Source organism: Homo sapiens, chromosome 1 (genome assembly GCF_000001405.40).
Source record: "Homo sapiens chromosome 1, GRCh38.p14 Primary Assembly".
Lineage (NCBI taxonomy): Eukaryota > Metazoa > Chordata > Mammalia > Primates > Hominidae > Homo > Homo sapiens.
This window is the reverse complement of record NC_000001.11, coordinates 63,891,607-63,912,074: the sequence shown is the minus strand read 5'-3', so window position 1 is coordinate 63,912,074 and position 20,468 is coordinate 63,891,607. Positions and strand designations below refer to the sequence as shown.

Sequence of the window (20,468 nt, the reverse complement as noted above, 5' to 3'; positions counted from 1 at the left end):
GCTCAAGTGAGCCTTCCACCTTGGTCTTCCAAAGTGCTGGGATTACAGGTGGCAGCCACTGTCCCTGACCCAGGATCACATCTTAATTCGCCTTTGTATACCCACACAGCACCTCCACACACACGTGGCAGGTGATGGGGTTTCCAGAAAGTTTGCTGAATGAGTAGAAAATCCACTGTCATTTTCACGGCCAAAGCCTGACACCTACAGCTTGAGAAGGAAGGAATTCCTTCCCCATGCCCCTCAGCATATCTCTTGTACAGGTCCAAGTGTTCCTATTAATGCTTTGTGGCTTAAACTTTTTATTCCTTCAGTTTTTTGTTTCTTCTCTTCCCTGGAACAAGAGTCTTAGTGATTTCACTAGTACAAACAACGTAATGACACAATACTACAACCAACAGTATCTACTATCTACAGCGGTCCTTAACCTTTTTGGCACTGAGGACCAGTTTCATGAAAGACAGTTTTTCTATGGACCAGGGTTGGGGGTGGGGGGGATGGTTTCGGGATCTATTCCATCTCAGATCATCAGGCATTAGTTAGATTCTCATAAGGATCACACAACCTAGGTCCCTGGCATGCACAGTTCACAATAGGGTTTGCACTTCTATGAGAATCTAATGCTGATCTGACAGGAGGCAGGGCTCAGGTAGTAATGCTCGCTCACCTGCCACTCACCTTCTGCTGTGAGGCTCGGCTCCTAACTAGCCCTGGACAGATGTTGAGGTTGGGGACCCCTGTACTAACGGATAGAGTATCATTCTAATGCCCAGAACAACAACTGTAAGAGGTGGTCATTGTTATGCCCATTTTACAGATGAGAACACTGAGGCATAAGGAGATTAGGCCACACCACAGAAATGAGTAATAGTCGAGGTTCAAACCCAGGTATGTTTAACTCCAGAGGTTATTCTACAAGGCTCCTCAGTTAAAGAATTGAGGCCACAAGTTTTTTGTCCAAGCATCATGGCAAAGGAGAGGTTCAAAGTGTCTATGATTTGATTCCTGTTCCATCAGACACCTGAAGGCCAGGCAATGAGCAAATAATCTTCCTGCAGTTCTCAAGTTGGAGAGAGACAGAGTCAATAACAATGACTTATACAAAAGTCATCTCTTTTTCTCTGACGTAAAAAACCAAAACTGTTAAATAGAATGCAGCCCAGGGCTGGTGAGAAGGGATGTGGCCACATCTTTTTCAGGGCATCACTCTTCAACCCACTGCACTACAAAGGCTGGATGCACGTCCTTGTTGTTCTGAACCTTTGGGTTGGAACGTCTACTTCGACAGGCATTTGTGCAGTGGCCTGAGTGCAAGGCAGTCTGGGAGTCACATGGATGAACCAGAAAAAGCGCAGCCCTCACAGACATGACTTAGTATCTAGAGGACGGTATCAGGAAGAACACAAATGGCCATGCAGGAGCACACCAGGATAAAGGTCCCAACACAGGGCTATGGGGTCATAGGAGGTTAGTTAACTGGTTCAGGGATCAGGAAAAGCTTCCTGGAGGGGACAGGCCTCAAAAGTGACACTAAATTTCAAGAGGCAAAGACTGGAACTCAGAATTCACAGTCCATAGGTCCACTGTCTCATCCCCTTTCATCCCTATAAGGCCCTGGACACAGCCTTCCTTCACCAGTCCTGCCTTCATTGACCCCTCTCTTCTTGGTTTCTGTTTAAACCAGCCAATGAGCCCTTTCTGTGAATGCAACCCATGAGCTCTGCCTGAACAATGTCCATTGTACAAACAAGGACATTGTCTTGGTCAGTAATTTGTCCATATATAAATCATTTTTCTAGCATTTATTCTTTGTAACATGGGCATCTTGTGCAACTCACCATAATTGACTTAGCTAGCTGAAAAGTTCACCAACCACCTCATCATTCAAAGAGTGCAGCTAGTACCTGTTAAATGTAGCACTGTTGGAGAGTGCAAAGATGTACAAGACAGCATCCCTGGCCTTGAGAAACAAAAGAAAGCCCCGTGAATACTGCTTCATAGATTAAGTGCACTGAATTATATAATAGATTAAGTGCCTTGTTAAGAGAATGTTAATCAGCACAAGAGGTCCCGTCCCTTGAGACTAGTTTCTCCCTGTTTTCCTCACTCTCCCACACACTTCCAGGCCAGGAAGCACAGTGTAAAATTCTTTCATATTAGAGAACAGACCATATTTTTTGCAGCACGCCAAACAACTCAAAAGATTGTTCAAACCCTTTGAATGCTTTAAAATAAGCCAGGAAGTGAGACTGAGGCGAATAAACAACTGCAGATCACTTTCTAGCATTTCCAACATATTTATTTCATTTTCTCCGTGGTCTCATGTAGCAGTTACTCACACTGATTGACTTTATATATTTAAAAAAAAAGAAAACTGGAATAAAGCTGACCCAGATGTGTACAGTGCCTCACCCTGAGAAAACGTGTGCAGACTTCAAAACTTCACGCACTTGAAAGGCAGCTGGAGGAAGAGACTGGATGGACTGAGGTTTCTGTCTGAGAGTCTTTAACTACAGCACGAAGGTCAAGTTGAGGGTAAAATAGCTATGATGACCTGTATCTCACCTAAACAACCCAACTGTGGCTTCTTCTTGAGGACATGCAGGTAGAGAGAGGCACAGAGTGGCTTCAAGGAATCCTTTAATTCACCTATCACCAAATGGCATCTGAAGATAACATCAATATACTACTTTTCTTCAAGTGCATACAGATGCTATTGTAATTAATAAAATCCATTCACTAAAAGCAATTGAATTTTTGTTTGTAAGTACTTACTGAACAGAGATACTATAAATGTAATGACCATCAGCTCAGTTTCCTAAGTTAAAAAAGAGAAAAGAAGGAGCTGAGGAAAAGTATTCGTGCTCAAGCTTTATCGGGGCAGGGGTGGGGTTCCCAGGGTGGAAAGCAGGTGCGCAGGGGGCAGGAGGAGGTGAGGTAGACATCAAGATAGAGCAAATATAGAGTGGTGCATTAGTTACTAAGCTGTCACAACTTCACAAAAAAGTGCCTGTTTGCTAGGTCACCAAGACAAAGGCTATATGGAAACCACATATGGGTCAGAACAGTCTCCTGCGCTTCTATCTCCCCTTGGCCAAGGTTCACCTGTGGGCCTTAACTCCCTGCACTTCTGCATTGTATCAGTAGCTATGGAGGCCACTGGAGACACCACTTCCCACTCCCTGGCACATTCTTCATCTGAGTCCTGGCATGGTGGGAGAAGTCAGGGCTTTCATGGTAGGGGCCGGATCAGGCCTGGCTGCTGGCACTGCTGGGTTCTGCTGCACCAGGAGCTACGCAGACTGAGCTGCAGTTTTCCCCTGGGGAGTGAGGTAGTACAAGGTGGTAGTAACAACTTTCTAGCAAAATTCAGCAAGAGGCAGGCAGGATAAGCCTATCAGGGGAGATGCAAAATCTAGATCCCATACAACTATCTGTGGGCAATCCACCATGTTTTGTTAGTAAAGATGGGTTCTCAACAGTATGTGCAAATTAAGAACATTCTGGTGAATACACATCCCTATACATATAAATACATAAACAGGGGAGCGAAGAGGTTAAGACACCAAAATGTTAACACTAATAATCACCAGAGTATTAACATATTTCTCTTTTGCACATCTGTATTTTGCCTGTGTAATAAAATAATAAACTTCTGTTTACCAAAGAAAAATAGGCCCTCATATAAAAAGATGTTGGGAATCACAGATCTGAGCCTGTGGGTCATGAAGGAACCAGCATTTCCATATCCTATTTCCAACTGTGACCTCATTTTTTGCTTTGTCACTCCTCATTCATAAACAAAATACTCTGGCACTTTAGAGGGAGCTTGCTTCAGGGGGAGAAATGTGTGTTTTGCAGTGAAAGACATGAGTATGTAACCCATATCCGACAACTCTTGGCTATATGATCTCAGCAAATCCAGCCTTCAGTTTCCTTATCTGTGAATTGGGGGTGATAACAGACCTGCCACATGGAATTGTTCTGAGGAGCAAGTGAGTGTAATTATATAAATCAAAGTACTCTGGAAGCAACCATGCATTATCTATGCATTAGATAATATTATTGTAAAGGAGTGAAGAAGATCAGAAAAGTTTCAGATGCAGAATAATATAGATTTTGGATATGAAAGGATTTTTTGATTCATAAATAAGACTGAGGAGCCATAAAGCAGATTTATTTCTCTAGCTTTGGTATCAGGACAAAAAGAACTGCCCAAGACCTAAGATTTGCTAGTAACTCACCTGGGCACTGGGATAAGTCACTGCCCAGGATTGGAACACATGTTTTCACCTTTCAAATGATTAATTACATTGAAATCCATGCACAAGAAGTGTTTCAAGTTCTAGTAACCTCCTGGTAAGAATTTAATCTGAACTTTGGCAACCTTGCACACTGCTAGGCACAGAAACTATTCTTCCAGTGAACTAATGCTTAAGAGGGGATTCAAAGGCTCAGTGAACTTTAGAAGTAGAAGGGACTATAGCTCTAAATTTCACATTTTATATGAGAAAACCACAGCCCAGCCACCTACATGGCCTGACTTACTCAATGTCACATATCTGGTTTGTGGCAAAGCTATCTTTTTAAATAATAAAATAACAGCTACCACTTAAGTGTAATGTGCCTGGCAAGCACTGAACACTTAGCATAGCTGGTTTCATTTCATCTTTAAAATAACCCCAGGAGGTGGGAATCAATGGCCTCTTTACAGAGAAGGAAACTGAGGCTCAGAAAGCTTAAGTAATTTGCCTGGCTTAAGCAATCACCAGCCGGCCGCCCAAGCCCCATGCTTATTATTTGCCAACATCGCCAAGTCCCTGTCCAACGTGCTGCTCCCACACCATACTCCTGGGCAAAATATTATAACAACCACTCTCAGCCTAGAATGTCCTAGCCTCTGAGATACGACAGATATTCTAGCATCATGAGACCCAAAGTATCTGGGGGCGAAAGCTGTGGAGAGAGCTGTCCATAATCTAAGCAGTTTAATATTTTGCCTTTTAAACCATTTTACCTTCTCTTCTCCCAAATCCAACCAACAAACAACAGTTAAATATTCATTTCTGGGGCGATCATTTTGTTTTCCTCCTGGTCTTTCCTGAATTGATTTTCACAACTTTTCTCTCCTGCCTGTGGCTCTGGATAAAGTAATATTGAAGCATTCACTTTGCTTTGGATTTGGGAAACTTAGGACTTTTCTTTTGACAAAAAAATAAGAATAAAGTTTCACGTGTAACAAAAGAGGGTCTTTGGATTTGTACATATGCCTCAGTGGTGAGCAAAATGGAGAATGGTATTTCAGAAACTTAAAATAAAACTAAAGCACATATGTTCTGTAAAAAGCATTGTTTGACAAGATCAAATTACCCCAAGAGAGGGAACTGATTTCACTAACTGCCTCTCTTGCACATCTGAATCTCCCCCATGAATCTGGCAGACAGGGTGGGGGTGAAAGGGGTTAAACCCCACCCAGATGCACCTGGGTAATTACCCTCTGGACACTTACTAAAGAGCAGACTGCAGCGCTTAACCTTGAGCAGGCACAGGAGGGGTTACGGGAACTGACACAGCTGGATTTGCATTGAAGAAAAATCCATGGAACAGGCCTGAATAGCCACAAGCTGTGCAAGATTCTTGGAAAGGTCATTCGCAGGCATACATAAAATGTCTTTTACAAACACACACATACACACAAATCTTGATAGCACGTGCGCTTCTGAGGTGAAACCAGATGTTTACAAAATGATCCTTGCTTTCTACAAAAGAGGACACAGGAGGAGAGATCACTCCTGTAATCCATACCAAAGCATAGGACTTCGGGTTATCAGGACCCGTATCTATGAGGCTGAGGGTGTGTAGAACAGGCAGTTGACTCTGAAACGTTCACAGAGGTGGATGATTTTTCATCTAGTTTGTTTTGGTTAGTGCCCTAGAACAAGGCCTCAAAACAATCCCATTTGCCAAGATCTGTTCTTCCCCATATTATAAGCATGTTGTATTCCACCTTTGCTTATAAAATGTCTATAGGAAATAACAAGAATCCAGATTACCTAAAAACATTCTAAATGGAACCGTTTGATTACATTTAGCTAATTATCAGTAATAATTATGATATTCCCTGATCTATGAAGTCCCAATAACCTCAAGTACATTATTTTATGTTAATTATTATCGAGTTAAGTAACTAAAAATTCCTGTTACTTGAGGAATTGAGCTATAAATTACAGCAAAATTTTCGCATTTTTCTTATGAGACTATTTGGTTGTTTTGTTTATAATTTTTGAATTTAGTTCCTTTTTTCTAATTTTAAGTTAGACTCTTATCTGCACCTTCTTCTTCCTAAGGTCAAGCTAGAACGTCAATAGGATGAGCTTTTCCATGATGGTGCATGTCTATTACCATGTATGCTTTGCCATGACCCAAACAACAGATTATAGATATCTTGTGACAGCTTTTTCCATCCTCAACTTAACTAGTGTTTTCACATTTTATTATCTTAAAAACTACATCCGTTTCTGCATGCTATATGTCAATTAATATAAACTTGTATACCCTTTGTTTCATTACCATCTGCATTAGAAAGTTGATTAGTTTTCTTCACATACAGAGGAACTTAAAGCATAAGGAAGAAAATTAAAACTCATAATCCCATCACCTGATTTTTAAAACTTGTTAATATCCTGGGTATATTAAGGTCTGTAGTAAGGCAAAACATTTGAGAATATTAAAAAAGCTAAAAAGCATAATTTTAAAAAATACCTTTAAATCCCTGAGTATGCACTTAAAATCAACAAATAGTTTGTGTCCACATTGCTTATAGAATTGAGGAGATGGAAATGGCTTCAGAGATTCCTAGTTCAACTGCACTATTGAATCCAGAAGGTTAGGCAATTTATTTTCTTGGCCAGTGAGTGGCTCCATCAGACTCCCAATCTGCCCTCCATGTTCTCTGCACTAAGACAAACTCCCCTCCACTACTCTCTTGCCTCTGAAGCAGTGTGGCTGAGTAGGTGACATAAGATAGGGCCCAGGGAAGGCTCTTAACAACAGGAAGGATGAGGAGCTGTAACAAGCAGGAGCTAAGACACCAGCCTGGGTGTGCGATCCCACGAGGAGCCAGTTAAAATGTAGGTTAAGGCATGGGCTGATATGCTAGGGCTGCTATAACCAAGTGCCACAGAATCAAACAACAGGAATTTGTCTCACAATTCTGGAAATTAGGAGTCTGAGATCAAGATATCAGCAGGTTGGCCTCCTCTGAAGCTTCCCTCCTTGGCTTACAGATGGCTGTCTTCTGTCCTCTCCTCGCATCTTCACTGGTCTTTCTTCTGTAGGGATGAGTTTCCTAATCTCCTCGTCTTATAAGGACAACAGTCAAATAGGATTAGGGCTCACCCTAATGACTTCATTTTAACTTAATCTGTTTAACAGCCCCATCTCCAAATATAGTCTCTTCCTAAGGAGTTAGGCTTAGGCCTTCAATATACGAATTTAAAGAGAAGGAGGAAGGGACACACCTCAATTCATAACAGGCTGGTTTAAAGTTGCTGTTAGTCTGGTTGGATTTGGAGACTTGGGACTAAATGAATTGAGAAGTCCAGACACAAGCTGGCAAAGGAAAAACTGCCAGGTCTATGAAGCACAGGGGCCACCTTACATCCTGGGGAAATCCTGAGGAAAAGAGCCTGGGACTGTGAGTCAAGGGCATGGCTCTTCCAACTCTGCCAACATCTGGCTATGAGACCTTGAGCAAGATCCTTGTTTATCTGGGCCTCAGTTTCCTCCTCTATAACATGGGCACACAACGTCAGTTTAAAATGAATCACTAGATGATGTCTAAATTCTCTAGAAACCCGTAATCCACAAAAAGCACACAACACTCAGATTTCACTTCCTGTATCATCGCAATCTTGTCACACTCTTCCCTAGAGACTTGAGTTCTTCAGCTCCATCATGGGGCTCCCCTGAACTGATGCCCCTGACCTGGCCCCGCTTCCCTACCATTCCCTGACTGTTCTCCTCTTCTATCAATGTCTAGAAAAATCCTTCCCTTTCCTGCCATATCCCCCATTCTCAAGACTCTGCTCAAATGCAGCCTCCTTCATAAAACCTTTCCTAAGCAGAGGTCTCTCCCTTGTATTGTTTGGTTTTACCTCTTTTACTGGACACCTGTCATTCTCCCTGGTCTCATGATTATTTCGTTTCTTATAACTATCTACATAGACTCTTGAGTAAAGAATATCTAAAGTATGCTACCTGCTGTGTAAGAAAAAAAGAGAATGAGAAAATATATCTATATATAAAAATATATCTATATGTCATACAACTATATAGATATATATAGTTATGTTTATATATGCTTATATAGCTATATAGTTATATAATCTGTGCACATTTTGCAAAAGCAAATACAGTAAAGTTAAACCAGAAACAAATGAGACTGAGCACCTATGGACATGGGGTGAGCAGGAATGAGGTGGAAATGATGGGAGGGTGGAAAGGAGCAGAAGGAAGATGAGAGGGACATGTCTTTGAGTATTTCTTTTTGTATCATTCTGACTTCCAAAACATATGAATGTTTCACACATAAACAGACAAACACATAAATAAAATCAGTGAAGTGGGTAAAAAAAAAAACCTAAAATGGAAGACAAACTAAATAAATGAACCCAACTATATTTCAAATGAATGACATCATCAAGTGGGAGTGGAAGGGAGAAATATCCCTGGCACTCCAACCCGAAATTCAACTAAAGAAAATATACTTTAATCTGAACCTAGGTCTGTGAAGATTTAATGAAGAAAAGGCAGGGAGGGTGCATTCAAAAAAGTTAGCTAACTGCCGATTAAGTTTATTTCCCAGCTGATAGGGCAGAGATTAGTAGACTCCTACCTGATATCCAGCCCCTCCTTTTCCCTTATCTTAACAGAACCCTGATTTTATTGGGGGCAACAATGTGCTCAGCTAAAAAGCTTTTTCCAGCCTCCCTGGCAGCTGAGGGTGGTCATGTGACATGGTTTTGGCACATGAGATGGACTGGGAAGTGACTAGGTAGGGTTTCTGAGCAAGCTTTTGAAAGAGGGCTGATTCAGCTTGTGCCTACACTTTGCCCATCTCATTCTTCTAACAAGAACATGGACGTGAGGCAGAAGGAGGATCAGCAAACTTAGGACTACAGATGAGAAGCACACACTAAGGATGACTGGCGGAAACAGAAAAGGTGTCTGGGTCCCAGAAGACATTATGGGATGGAAATGTCAGTTTCCATGGAAATGTCTACTGCCTATCTCCTGTTTTCATTACATGAGAGAATTAAAACATGAGTTTTAGGAACTCTCCATAACTTATTAAGCCAATACTTTTCAGGTGTCTGAACTCACAGCTGAATGCAGATTGTAATACAGCTGTGGCTAGTGATGGAGCTAGATTTATAATCCACATCTTTTGGCTGGGCAACGGTGGCTCATGCCTGTAATCTCAGCACTTTGGGGGGCTGAGGCAGGAGGACTGCTGGAGCCAGGAGTTCGAGACCAGCCTGGGAATCCTGGTGGGTCCTTGTCTCTACAATAAGTAAATTAAAAAAAAAATAGCTGGGCATGGTGGCATGTGCCTGTGGTCCCAACTATTCAGGAGGCTGAGGTGAGAGGATCACTGAAGCTTGGGAGGTCGAGGCTGCAGTATCTCATGATTAAGCCACTGCCCTCCTGCCTGGGCAACAGAGCAAGACTCTTAAAAGAAAAAAAAAAGGTCTGTTATTGTCTACTAGGGTCTGACCACACTAAGGTTCGGAAGTTTCCCTGGTTACTGTTAATTCCACTAATTCACATGAAACTATGAATTATATTTAAAATGTTGCATATGACAATTCTTCCTTCTTTTCCATTTAAATAGCTATGAACAAAGAATTTTTTAAAGCTAAGGATAAGCTCTTTTCCTATTATCTGCAGACTTAAACTGAATATATTCAAAAAAGCCTTGAAGTCCAACCATCGAAAATATAACTTAAATATATCATGGTTTGGATGTTTCAATAACGTCACCATAAAAAAAGATATTTCCTTATTCCCAAGTTCATACTCAACCTTTCTCCACTATACTGTATTGCAGTATTTAGAGTCGTGTATCCTTTGTTTACTCTTTATCCATATGTCTTAGGATAAATAAAGAAACAGAACAGAGTATCTTTGTTTATTTATCTTTCTCACTAGCTTGCTAGCTTCTTGAGGTCAGGGCCTATCTAGTTTGTACACTAGCTAGCACAATCTCCATCTAAAGGGAGTTGTATTCATTAATATATGATAGAAGGAAGTATGTATAACCCATACAGAATAGGTTATGCTGGACCCCAGAAAAGCAAAAGATATAATTAAAAGGGCTAATGTATCCTTTAAGAAAAAAAAATTAATAAAGAGAGGTTTTACTCTACAAGGAGGAAAGTATGTATCTGGGTGGTTTTTTTTTTTCCAAATTAAATTCCCTCAGAATCAAATTCTGTTCACTGATTTAGGACAAAATCTCTAAAGACATCATTAGAATCTGAAAAGTGAGATGAACTTATACTGAGTTCATTTGGCTAGAAATCCCAAAACACATCAAGGAACACTCCAGGCCCTTGAGCACAGTGCTATTACACTGCTATTACAGCTACAGACATGGAATCTTGACTTAGTGAAAGTGTGTAAACTGGGGATAATGGGGAACCGGACAACAACTCCCAAGGCCAAGTGTAAAACTGCTGTGTCATAACCTCTGCACACCTGTAGGTGATCGGTGGTTCAGAAACATTGTCAGGATAGAGCTCTGCTGGCCGTAGAACCTTCAGGAAATAAACACATGCCAAGTGTGAATCAGCACCATTCCCCAAACCAGGAAGACCCTGTTCTCATGCACCATGTCAGTCTTTTAAACACCAGTATTCATTCAGCACACACGTTTGCTAGCTTACAGCGGGCCAGGCCAGGTCCCGGGAGACAGAAAAGTCATACAGAATGGGTGACCATTCTGGCTCTGCCACTTCCTAACTGCATGACCCTGCAGGTTATGTAACCCCTCTGGGCCTCAGCATCCTCACCTGTAACATGACGGTAATAATGCTACCACCTCAGAAGCTCATTATGAGGATATGTGAGTTACTGTTTGTAATGTGCATAGGAGAATGCCTGGCCCACAGAGCCATGTTAAGTGTTAGTGATTATCATTTGTTAAATAAATGAAGAATGCAACCATAACATGAGGCATGTTCATGATATATTTAGATTTTTTTTAAATTACATTTCAAAACAGATACATACAGCAAGATGTTAAATTAATATATAATGCATACGAATAGAAAATAGATGAGTGGTAAATAAAAATATTAATAGGGGCTTCCTTTAGACATGGAATTGCAGATCACCTGTGTCTTTTTCTCTATGGTTTTTAATATATTTTAATGTAAGAAAAATGGTAATAATTATTCATATTAATTACACAGACCTCAATTTCCTAATCCATGGGATGGGGGCAGCATTCCATGCTCTCTAAGGCACCTCACAGGCTTCACCTTCTGATACATGGTTACCAGATGCCCAGCTAAAGAAAATTAAATCATTAACTTTTCCTTTTTTTTTTTTTTTTTGAGATGGAGTCTCACTCTGTTGTCCAGGCTGGAGTGCAACGCCACCACCTTGGCTCACTGCAACTTCCACCTCCCAGGCTCAAGCGATTATCCTGCCTCAGCCTCCCAAGTAGCTGGGACTACAGGTGCCTGCCACCATACCCAACTAATTTTTGTATTTTTAGTAGAGACAAGGTTTCACTATGTTGGCCAGGGTGATCTCGAACTCCTGACCTCAGGTGATCTGCCCGCCTTGGCCTCCCAAGGTGCTGGGATTACAAGCATGAGTCACCACGCCCGGCCAACTTTTCCTTTCTATAATGTTAAGAACAGATTCTTAGAAATAGCTTTCTTCAAACTAATCAGAGTCAGTGGTAAGCATGAAAATTAGTATAAAAAGTAAACAGACTTGTCTTACAAAGCTAATTCAGCAACACTAGTCTCACTAAATCCTAAATCCCTCCATAGTAACTGGAATCTAGAGGGAGAAATAACACACTGTTTTTAAAGGAGGAAAGGGGAGTAAAAAGCCTCCCATATGGTGTCTGTTCGGATATTTAAGTCATTTTTCCCTTCTGTAACATTAAGTTCCTCCCTCCCTTTTACCTGGTTTGATATTTAAAACCAAGAGTAACAGTTATGGTTTTAGCAACTTTACCAAAACTGCATTGTCCAATCGCACATAAAAATTAGAAGAACTTTGTAAAACCCAAGCAAGCAGAAGAGGAATCTATACAGAGAGCAAAGAACATTTCCTTTTCTCCTTTGGTGTTGAATTCACTTAGAATTTGGTCATGGAAATACTGCTTAGGTTTCCTGGTGCCAATGTAACCTATATGCCTGAGTGCTGTTTTGAATTCACAAGTACATCTTTGACAGGGCTGCAGCACTGTTGAAAAGAGGCTTGGGCTTAAGGCTCGGAGCAATTCAGACTGATGCCAGGCAGCATAAACAAGACACTGAAACTTTCTGAGCCTCAGATCCCTCATCTATAAAATGGGCATATTAATATCGTTTTGAAGAATTGCTACAAAGTATGCAAATTTAGGAGATACAAAGGGGAAAATGTTAAAGGCACAAAAGGAAAGAAAAGGCAAAAGATTCCACTGTGTATATGGCAAGGACACAACTATCAACGTGCTGGGTTTGTGGTCGGGAGACTCTGGCAGGCATCTGGGCACAGTATACTCATGGCTGTGTATGCTGCTACAGTCAGTCAAATTACTGAAAATCTTCTGAATGTGGATTTTGTGGAGAAACTCAGTGAGTTAGGAATGAAAGAGACTGATGAGGAAGGCAAAGTAAACAGAGTATTCTTAGGGCCTCTGGCACCACCTGGTCCACACCCCAGATCTGAACAACTGTGTCTGGGCTGCACAGAACCTGGCCTGAGAAACTGTAGGCTTGAAGAAGCAGGTCCTGTGTGATGGAGAGCTTTGCCCGTCCCGGTGCTTCTTGGTGGGTGGCAGGAGTACTTTATGTACTGTTTCCATGGAGAAGCACAAACTTTCCAGGAGATTTATTAACTTCATTTCCCCATCAGACAACAGGGAGATATTTTTGTCCTCTATTGGGGTGGGCAGATCATAAAGTTGCAGAAATTAGGCCAGAAGGACCAAGAAAAGCAGAAGCCAAAGAGCAAGGTCTCTCTGGGAAGCCTTCCCTGACCTCCTAGGCAGGGGGAAAAACTCCCTCTGCAGTGAGTACGGCGCCACACAACTTACCTCTCAGGAACCTCCTGTGTTCTCGTTCTCTCTCTCTTCCCTCTTTTCTCTCCCTCTCTCACTTCATTCCCTGTTCTTCCTCTTGTTCAACTTCTCTTTCACCCCCTTCTTTCCTCTGTCTCCTTTCTACTTTCCCTCTCTTCTTTCCTTTTTATTTTTTCTCTCTCTCTTTCCTTCCTTCCTTCTTTCTTTCCCTCCTCCTTTGTCCTTTCATTCTCTTTCTCTTCTTTTTCTTTCCCTTTTTTTCAATATGTGTTTCTTGAACACCTACCATCCTGGAACCCGGTACCATGCTTTGCAGATCTTTATTATAGCAAATGGTTTCTTCTTCTTTTATTCTTTCCTTTTTTTAAAAAAAAAACCTCCTTTATCCAAAAAAAAAAATGTAAGCATCTATTATGGTGCCCGACATCCAACAGAAAAACGATTTTTTTACTTTCAATTCAGAAAACATCTATTTACCTGCTGTACTATACTAGGAACTAGGGATAACAGAATTGAATAATATATAGCCTTTGACCCCAAGGAGCTCACAGGTCATGAAAGACCCACATGTGAACAGAAAACAAATGGCATTTTGTCCATAAGGCAGAGATGGCCAGCTGTTCAAAGATTTGTGCACTCCTTTCAATATGCAAAATTATTGCTGGGATGAGACCAGCAAGGATCTACATTTCTTGCCCCAACCCCTCCAGTTGTCTAAATGTAGCAGACAACAGAATGAGCTCCGGCCAAAAAGGCCCTTTTGGAACCCTCCACGCCTTCCCTCTCCTCTGTCTCCTGGCTGGAGATTGGCAGTAAGTTAACTAAAGAAGACACAGGTTGAAGATGGCAGAACCTCTGCAGGCTGGGTCCCTGAATGACTGTATGGAGCAGGGTCATTCAATCTACTTCAAGTTGGGCTTTACATGAGCAAGAAATGTACTTTTATTTTATTAAGCTGAGTTTGAGTTACCAAGGATTATCAGTTATGACAGCTAGTATTAACTAATAAAATGTGACAGTTCATTTGATAAATATTTATTAAGCACTTCTATGTAGCAGATATTGTCTGGGAATATATCAGTGAACAAAAGAGACAAATATCTCTGCCCTTCTGCTGCTGATGTCCTGTTGGGTACCTAGCTCCACAGTAGGTGTTCAAAAAATATTTATGGAAGACATAGCTTAAAGACTCATTGAGCTTACATTTTAGGAAAAAGAAAGAAGGAACCGAGAAACAAGGAAACTTTATGTGGAAAACAGTAAACACTTTCAGAACATAGCCTCGATTTCACTAAGTGGAAAAGCCTCTCTTCCCTTTTTCCTGTTTATTGAATATGAACACTGCCATCTGTGCCCACTCTCAGATAGGGAGATGTCTCATGGCAAGGGTTGTCTTATTCGTCTGGGTATCCCCAGGACCTGGTACAATGTCAAGCATTTCATAGGTTCTCAATAAATGTTGACTAAAACAGTCTTATGCTTTAAAATTTATGTATGTTATGCATATCCTTTTATTTTGTCGAAGGTTACATTTTTAAAAATAGTACAAAATTAAAAATATGAAAGCCATAAACTTGCTAGAGAGAAAATTTCTATCCAGGGGAAGGGCTGACCAGCATCACAGATGAATACGTGAAAGGGCCAAAGGGCAGTACCAATAGTGAATAAGAGAAATGCAAAATCCTGAGAGCTGGAATAGCCAGGAAAATTTTACAGAAAATACTGTTAATAACAACAGCTTGACTTTTTATGACCTTGTAGAGTTTACAAAGCATTCCCATACCTATTACTTCATTTGACACATTTAATAGCTCTCTGGGGTAGTTATTATTAACCTCAAAGAGATTAAGGGATTTACCCAAGCTCAACAGCTAATAATTAATAGAGAGTCAGAACTCGAACTCTGGTCTTTTTATTCTGCATCTGAAATAAGGCTCCAAGGTGAGATGTGGGTGTGCAAGGCATACATAAGGGGCTTTCCAGAAAGCAGCCCCCCAATGCCCCCCAAATCAAGGGTTAGATGTGTTCACACACGAGTCTACATTTTCAGTGACCTGCTCCCCTCTGCTTATAAGCAATTTCAGGCTGTCTTCTAAGGAAACTGTAGACTAGTCAGTTTTTCCCCAGTGTCCTGCCAGTCATTTCCGGTGCTTCGCCAATATCACCATCTTACTGTGATTACATTATTGAGAAACAGAATCCAGCTCCTTGATTAGATGAGAAAGGAACTGTTAAGTCCAACAAGTCAGTTTATAATGAAGGAGAAGGTGGAGGAAGCATTCTTTAGTGTCTACCAAGTGTTATGGAAATCTTTCAGAGTAAAGGAGGGACCCAGCACATACTTTGGAGAAGGCTTCAGATGGCATGGAGTTCAAGTTACTGAACACAGATTCTAGAACACTGGAGGGGTCATTAGTCACATTTTCAGAAATGCCACCAGAATCCAAGCAAAATCCTCACAATCCAGGCACCAAAGCCATTGTTTAAAAATTCCACCTGCTATCAAAGGAGCTATCAAAACAACTTCAGAAAGGGTATATTTATATTATTTTTTAACAAAATATCCTTATTTTTTAACAATCTGATAGAAGTCATTGAATAAATATGATATGATATGAAATCTAATATGTAATGATGGGAGTGGCTTTTTTGGTTAAGGAGGAAGCACATTGTGAATGAAAGACTCAAGCAGGGGTTAGCCACTCATCTAGGGCACTGTAGGTGGAAGCGTTCATCTTAGAGGAGGCTGGATATCAGGACCTCCAAGTCCATCTAGCGACCTGTGAGCCCTTTTACTGAACAGAGGGTATCCAGAACTTAGAGGGGTCATAGTTCTAATCTCACAGATGCCAACTCCAAGACACCACTGGGTATTATTTTCTGAGCACAAAACACTCAGTATCAAATCAAATAAAAAAGGCAAGACAAAATAGAAAGAAAATCATAGGGCACCTAGAATCAAGACGAAAAGAAAAAATTGTAAAATTTTTCAACAGTTATCAAAGAACATATCTATTTAACAGCTGGTAAATGTTCACGGTTAATGATCTCAACTCTGAGACTTGGTTCCTTCGTGGGAAAATGACAGGGAGAAGAGATTGACAGAGCACCTCAAAATTCACTATCAGCCCAGTCTGTGAATCAATGACTTCAAGAAAGGCTAATGATATGCCAGGTACCTAATCGAGATGTGTGAATATCAATTCTTGGCCTTCATCTTTTCTGTCTGGGAGACTAAACATGCCAAAACCTCACCCTGACTTCACACTACCTCCACTTCAAATTCCACCTTGGTCAACAGAGATCATCCTCTTTCTCAGGTCTAACCATCTTCTTCATGAAACCAAGATACATGGTTTATTTTCTTAAGTGAGTGTTAGCCTTTACCCACAGTTTCAAGCCCAGCAGTGTAGCCAAACTAAAGACAATACTATATCCCACTGTCTAACAGAGACAATGAAGAAAAATGCAGATAACTAGTATTTCTAAATCTGAGTAATAGTCCTGTGTTCAAAGAAGAACAAGAATATATTACAAGAATGCAACATTCTGTTAAATTGTCCAGTGACCTTTATTGGCCAACTATCCCGCCATTAAATGCCATCTCTATCTTGAGAGATTACAAAATTATATCTAAAAAGCTTGATAAACTTTTCTAAGCCCTGATCAAATCACATACTTACATAAAACACAAGCATGCCATAACTTTCTCCATGTCATGTGTCATCCAAATATGTTTTATAAAGAGCATTCTAAGATCTAAAAGCTCCTGTAATCCACGTCCAGGAGTTTTTCTAGACTGAGAGAAAACATGTGCTGTAGGATTTCCCACACCTCTGTCAAAGATTTGAAGGTCTTTAGTCTACTTGGCAAAATAAAGTACACTTAAGATGCATCACTCTTGCCAAAGAAAGGGTTTTGACCTTTTGGCCAAGCAGATTCCAACCTAATGGCCAACTCAAATGAAAACCAGTGTTTATTCTAACAATTTGTAGAATATTTGTAACTACCAGTTTCGTCTTTCTCACTTTGCCAACTCACTACCCAGTGCCCAGAAGGAGGGATTATGCATAAGGCAGTGGTTTTGGTGTATAAACAATAAAGAATCAAGTCCTTTTTGCTCTTCCTTCCTTATATTTCTCTTACCCACCTGTCCCAAAAACCTCCCCTGTGCTACAGGAGCCCCATCCTGAACATGATCAGTATAAACATCAGCTTCACAAAAATCAAGTGCACAAATGTAAGGTGTCTGTGGTGTGTGAAGATGATGGGAGGCTATATGTCTATGTATGAGGAATGCATTAATGAATGGGAAGGGTTTTTGCAGAGATCAATGCAATGGCATTTGATATCACCATCAAATTGCTTTCTCTTATAAACTTTTAGAATATAGTAGTCTCCCCCCTTATCTGTAGTTTTGGTTTCCATGGTTTTAGTTACCCAAGGTACCATGGTCTGAAAATATGGAATGGAAAATTGCAGAAATAATTCGTAAGTTTTAAATTATACACCATTCTCAGTAGCATAATGAAATCTTGGGCCATCCTGCTCCATCCTGCCCAGAATGTGAGTCACCCCTTTGTCCAGCATATTCCCACTTTCTATGCTACCTGCCCATGAGTCACTTAGTAGCTGTCTTGGTGATCAGATCGACTGCCACAATATCACGCACTTATGTTCAAGTAACCTTAATTTTACTTACTAAGAGTCCAAAAGCACAAGAGTAGTGATGCTGGCATTTGGATTTGCCAATAAACTATAAAGTGATAAGGTAAAAGATTGAAGTGAAAAGGTGAAAAAGATCTTGACTTAATGAGGAAAGAAAAAAATCGTATGCTGAGGTCACTAAGATCTACAGTAAAAATGAATCTTCTATGCATGAAATTGTAAAAAAGGAAAAAGAAATTCATGTTTAGTATATATAGAATTTGGTACTATCTGCAGTTTAGGCATCTACCAAGAATCCTGGAACATATTCCCAGGACACAGATAAGGGGGGACCACTGTATATCTCTTGACCCACTTTGTATAGCACCATCCAGAGATTACCGATACTTTTGATACCATTAATTGATGAAAAGACAGCTGCTTCGTTTCTTAGAAACACGGAAGCCTGTAAATGTAGCAAAGGCAACCAGAAAAAAAATAAGAGTCCATATGTCCACGCCCAGTCAGTAAACAACAAAATTAAGAAACCCACAAAAACCTTTTAACCTGGACATCATGAAGGATACTCTTGAAATGGTGTCATCAAAAATCAGCCTCTTTTCTATTCATATGGCATATTAGCAAGCACAGCAAACAAGTAAATAACCATCTTCAAGGCCAAATTTAATGAATTCTTTTTTTACCCCCCTCTTTTATCCCAGTCTCTATCTCTGCACTTCCAGGAGCTAGGTTTTCTCATGGCTGCTGCTCCTCTCCCACATGATGTAAGCAGAGAGCTGGAGAAACAGGGCCCTAAGCTGGGGACTGTGAGCAGCAAGCCTCTGACATCACTGGGTAGCAGGAAGTACCACAGGAGTCTGAGGTTTCACGCCTCACTGCCCTCTCAATACAAAAATCCTCCCAGTGACACTGTGCCCAGAAGATGTTTACTGCCTAAGCACACAGTCAATCTCCCCTCGAAGAAACATGCACAATCTCCCCTCGAAGAAACACAGTGGTAGACTGTGTCCACCACTCTAGAGACAGGGAAACCGCACCCTCTGCGGCTGACACCATAGAAATGAACTCATCTTTAAATCTGCCGTGCTGCTTTTTGCTTTCTTCTGCCAGCTGGTCCTTGGCAAAGCTACTTGATAAATCCAAACACATCAGTTTCACTGGCCACTGAAGGGCCTGTGCTTTTGGGAAACAGGCTTGCCATAAAGCTAGTCTTTGTGACGGCAGCTTCTGGTCTCTCCTGTCACCCCTATTGCCCTTCCCTGTTCTGTCTCTAGAAATCACAGACTGCATAGCTAGAAGGGCCTCAAGTCCTACTCCCTCCACTCTGCAGATGAGAAAGCCTAAGTTTAGAGAAGGTTGGCAACTTGTCCGAGTTTACAGGGCTCATTAGTGGTGGCAGAGCTTAGCCAAACCCAAGACTGCTGTCCAGTATGGACTTCCATAAGCATGGGTTTTACTGTAAGAAAAAAAATACTGGGTTTCAGTCCTCAGTGGCTAATCACTGGTTGGTGACCTAGGGCAAGTAACATTTATCTATCTGCCTTCTCAGGCTTTCACATCTGTAAAATAGACAATAAATATACAATAAACATAGTTACAGCTCACTACATGGATGTGAAACTGTGATACTTTCAAGTGTTTACAGGAATATGATTTGTGCTTTTTGTACAAATCATACCTTATAAACCACACTCAAGTCTCCTTAATGTGCTTAAAGACCCATGAAACCTCTGGGTCAGACAGATTCTTAACTCATCTTTTCAGATCCAATTTGTTATCATCTCCTTCAGAGCCTCCTCTGCCCTCCCAGATGCAGCGAAGTGCCCAGCTCCCCCGTACACATCTATCTTTGCACCATAGTATAACCGTTCCTTGTACCTTTTCCCCTATTCAATTGTGAGATTCAAGGAAATGAACTGTGTCTTAATCATAGTCCATTAATCTTTGCATTTCCAGCACCTAGCACTATTCATGGTCCATTAGAAGTGAATTAATGAATGCTTATTGAATTAAAGTAGAAGTGAATAAAATCACTAAGTAGTAGGGACAAACTAAAGGTGAATATACTTTCCTCCTTTGACTTGCTGAATTAGAGTTCTCCAGTGAACCAGAACCAAGAAGATATATATATGTAGAAATTCATTATGGGGGTTGGGTCATACAATCATGGAGGCTGAGCAATCCGACAATATGCCATCTCCAAAAGCCAAGTGAGAGAACCAGAAAGTCAGTGGTATAATGTAGTCTGAGTCCAAAGGTCTGAGAACCAGGATTAGGGTAGCACAGGTGTAAGTCCCAGCGTCCAAAGGCCCAAGAACTAGGATCTTTGATGTCCACAGACAGAAGAAGATAAGTGTCCTAGCTCAAGGTGACATCAAATTCACCCATCTTCCATCTTTCTGTTCTACCGGGCCCTCTGCAGATTGGATGATGCATACTCGAGGCATGAATATCTGAGGGCAGATATTCTGTACTCAGTCTACTGATTCAA

At 40.9% G+C, this 20,468-nt stretch overlaps 1 protein-coding gene across 3 annotated transcripts in view, besides 2 other annotated features; it reads right to left on the bottom strand.

Annotated features, from left to right (window-relative positions):
• Positions 1 to 20,468, bottom strand: part of ROR1 (receptor tyrosine kinase like orphan receptor 1) — a 407,482-nt gene that overhangs the window by 269,424 nt on the left and 117,590 nt on the right. The window lies entirely within an intron of this gene.
• Positions 5,322 to 5,846: an enhancer, noted in NCBI's record as "OCT4-NANOG hESC enhancer chr1:64371900-64372424 (GRCh37/hg19 assembly coordinates)". NCBI's record gives its function as "activates a minimal SCP1, AML or CMV promoter by ChIP-STARR-seq in naive H9 embryonic stem cells {active_cell/tissue: H9 hESC(naive)}" and the evidence as "EXISTENCE:reporter gene assay evidence [ECO:0000049][PMID:30033119]".
• Positions 18,765 to 18,934: a silencer, noted in NCBI's record as "silent region_953". NCBI's record gives its function as "represses an Ori minimal core promoter by ATAC-STARR-seq in GM12878 lymphoblastoid cells {active_cell/tissue: GM12878}" and the evidence as "EXISTENCE:reporter gene assay evidence [ECO:0000049][PMID:35858748]".